This window comes from Homo sapiens, chromosome 21 (genome assembly GCF_000001405.40).
Source record: "Homo sapiens chromosome 21, GRCh38.p14 Primary Assembly".
NCBI classification, from domain to species: Eukaryota; Metazoa; Chordata; class Mammalia; order Primates; family Hominidae; genus Homo; species Homo sapiens.
Window position 1 is genome coordinate 19119774 of NC_000021.9, and position 3273 is coordinate 19123046.

The following is a 3273-nucleotide window of genomic DNA, read 5'->3' on the forward strand; positions in this document are numbered from 1 at the left end:
CCCCTTTCTGGTGAAAAAGTTACCATTCATGTCTTCCTATCAGTGTAGAAAGACAGGGAGAGTCTCCAGGAACTATAAGAATGTAATCAACTTGAGCAATCAGCCTGTTTTATGGCTTTGCAGCCTGTTTTTGTAACCACTCAATGAGTTCTTGCCCACTGCTCAGATGGAGCCAATTTATGAAGACAGGGGAATTGCCATAGAGAAAGAGTTTAATTCACACAGAGCCAGCTAAATGGAAGACCAGAGTTTTATTACTCAATTTATCTCTCCCAAAATTTGGAGACTGCGTTTTTTAAGGCTAATTTGGTGAGCAGTGGGCCAGGGAGTTGGGAGTGCTGATTGGTCAGGTAGGTGACAAAATCAAGAGGGTCAAAGTGGGTACTTTTTCCTGTCTTCTGTTCCTGGGTGGATTCACAGAACTGGTTGAGCTAGATTACAGGTCTGGGTGGTGCCAGCTGGCGCTCTGAATGCAGGATCTAGAAAGTATCTTAAGCACCAATATTAGATTTTACAGTAGTGATATTATTCCTGGGAACAATTGGGGATGTTCTGAATCTAGTGGTCTCTTGCTGCGTGACCCCTAAACCATAATTTCTTATCTTGTGGCTAATGTGTTAGTCTTACAAAGGCAATCTGGTCACAGGCAAGAAGGGGGCTTGTTTGGGAAAGGGCTGTTACAGTCTGTTTCAAAGTCAAATTATAAATGAAGTTCTTCCCAAAGTTAGTTCAGCCTATGCCCAGGATAACAAGGCAGGTTGAGGGTTAGAGGTAAGATGGAGTCAGTTAGGTTAAATCTCTTTCACTGCCATAATTTTCTCACTGTAATAATTTTTTTAAACGGCGGTTTCATTTTTCCCCAAACTCTGTGTAGAATGTGTTCACCTAATTGCCTGGAGCAAGCTCCTAACAGATCCTAGCAAATTACAGATTAACCCAAGTAAACTTTTCCTATTATCATGCTAAAATCTCCACCCTGTGAAGAGCAACAGCTTCATTATCATAACATGCAACCTTTGTGTGAGCATAATGACTTACTGCATCTGCTCCCCCCCGGGACCTCTCCTCTACATGCAATGATGCACCCTCTCCCCTCTCACTGCCCCATGAAACCCTCTTTCAGGGAGACACTGCCTTGGAGAACACACCCCATGCACTCCTTACTTGTGGAAAGTAATAAAATTCCTATTGATCGAAACCTGCATTCTTGTGGAGAGTCATTTGTTACTCCAGGTAAATGAACTCCCTTTTTTTTGGTAACATTCATTTAAGATTCTATGAGATTCTTCTCCTTGTAAGCAGATCTCAGCTCTGATTCTCTGCATGGGCACTTTTTTAAGGATTTCCAGATTTCAAGGTAACAATTTGCCCAACAACCTCAGCTCTTCAAGAACCACCACTGATTTTCAGTTTGTACAATCATTTCTTGTTAGAAGAATATAAGTGATGACTATTAAGCTCTTTAAAATTGCAGCTGAGGCCGGGCGCGGTGCTCACGCCTGTAATCCCAGCACTTTGGGAGGCCGAGGCGGGCGGATCACGAGGTCAGGAGATCGAGACCATCCCGGCTAAAACGGTGAAACCCCGTCTCTACTAAAAATACAAAAAATTAGCCGGGCGTAGTGGCGGGCGCCTGTAGTCTCAGCTACTTGGGAGGCTGAGGCAGGAGAATGGCGTGAACCCGGGAGGCGGAGCTTGCAGTGAGCCGAGATCCCGCCACTGCACTCCAGCCTGGGCGACAGAGCGAGACTCCGTCTCAAAAAAAAAAAAAAAAAAATTGCAGCTGAAGTTGGAAATCCACTAATACGGATTGGTTAAGTGTTAGCGTTTATCTTTCATAAAATTTGCTTCTGCCTCTGTGAATTTAATTTTTTCTATGTGACATTTTATCTTTCTTCTATTAATTTTTCAGTTACTTGATAAAAAAAGCTCTTGTAATTTAATACCTTTTCACATCCACTTGTTGGCATTTGAAACATCCTTACATTAAATTCTCATGCTACTCGTCTTTTTCTTGCCCAGTGAGAGCCAGTTTAGCTTACACTTGTCAGGAAGCTTCCATTTCCACATTTAACCAATTTAACCATCTATGTTCTGCTTTTTTCTATCTGTTGAGCAGGTGCACTTCTGTGAGTTCCTTAACCCTACATTTCACAGTCTTGCTTAGTGGGGCTCAAGGGTCTCAGCTCCTGCCATGGTGCCTGGCACCTGGTAACACAGTTGATGTTCAGCTGTTACAACATGAATAATCATCATCCAGCAGTAATTATTCACAAAAGTTTATTAAAATAATATAACTTTATTATAATATGACTATTTTCCAAATTATTTTTGAGAATGAAGATGATAGGGAAAGGCACCTGTTAACCGAAAAATATAGGCCATTTAAAAGTCTCTTGTTTTTCTGGTGTCAACAAGTTCAATGTGCACACTGTGCTTTTGAACTATAAACCTGAGTAAAGTACAAGAAACATCTCATTCAATTCTCTCAATTTTGAGTTCACTCATTTTAGAGATAGAAAAGTGAGCCCCAAAGAAACAAAGCGAATAGCACAGACTGCACAATCCCATGATTTATAAACCAGTACTCTTTCATTCTATCACCTTGCCTTCTGACACCTCTGAATAATTTGCTAGTTCTAGACAGATAAATGGAGGCTATGGATTGCTACAATTTTAAGTCAAGGCAGACTGGACCAATAACGTTACCAACAATATCCCCCACAGAATTATTTATTACAACTATTCTCTGTTTTGTTCTGCATCAGCAGGTCCATCTGGCAGTAAAGGATTGACCAGGTGTTCTGGGAAAAGTTGGCACACGAATGCCTTGAACACTGTGATGTGAGCAGGAGGGGGAGATATTTTCAATGAGAGAAAATTAGATTATTCTTGATATGTATAAAGGTGCAAGACATTTTTAGGTGATAGCAATTATGAAACATCTTTTTGCTTTATTTGTAGAGGTTTTTTGACTTGGTTTATAAAATCAGAATGAAGTATAAATATTCAAGGGAACTAGAGTGTCATCCCTATTAGTGTAGAGAATAAACAAAAATCTAGGTAGACATCCTTGAAAATTTGCAGTAAAATAAAAAAGGCATATCTCATCAGAACCATTTGTTATTCTAAAGAAAATAATAATAACAAAACCTCTCTCTTGATTAGTCTTTATTAGTTGGTACCTGACTCAGGGCTTTCAATCAGATGCTCAGAATATAGTTTACAAGTGATCTTTCCCTTACTAAATTGAATTTTGTGGCCCGAATTAGT

At 40.1% G+C, this 3273-nt stretch overlaps 1 annotated feature.

The window, feature by feature from the left end:
- Nucleotides 202-1151: an enhancer, noted in NCBI's record as "OCT4-NANOG-H3K27ac-H3K4me1 hESC enhancer chr21:20492293-20493242 (GRCh37/hg19 assembly coordinates)". NCBI's record gives its function as "activates a minimal SCP1, AML or CMV promoter by ChIP-STARR-seq in naive H9 embryonic stem cells {active_cell/tissue: H9 hESC(naive)}" and the evidence as "EXISTENCE:reporter gene assay evidence [ECO:0000049][PMID:30033119]".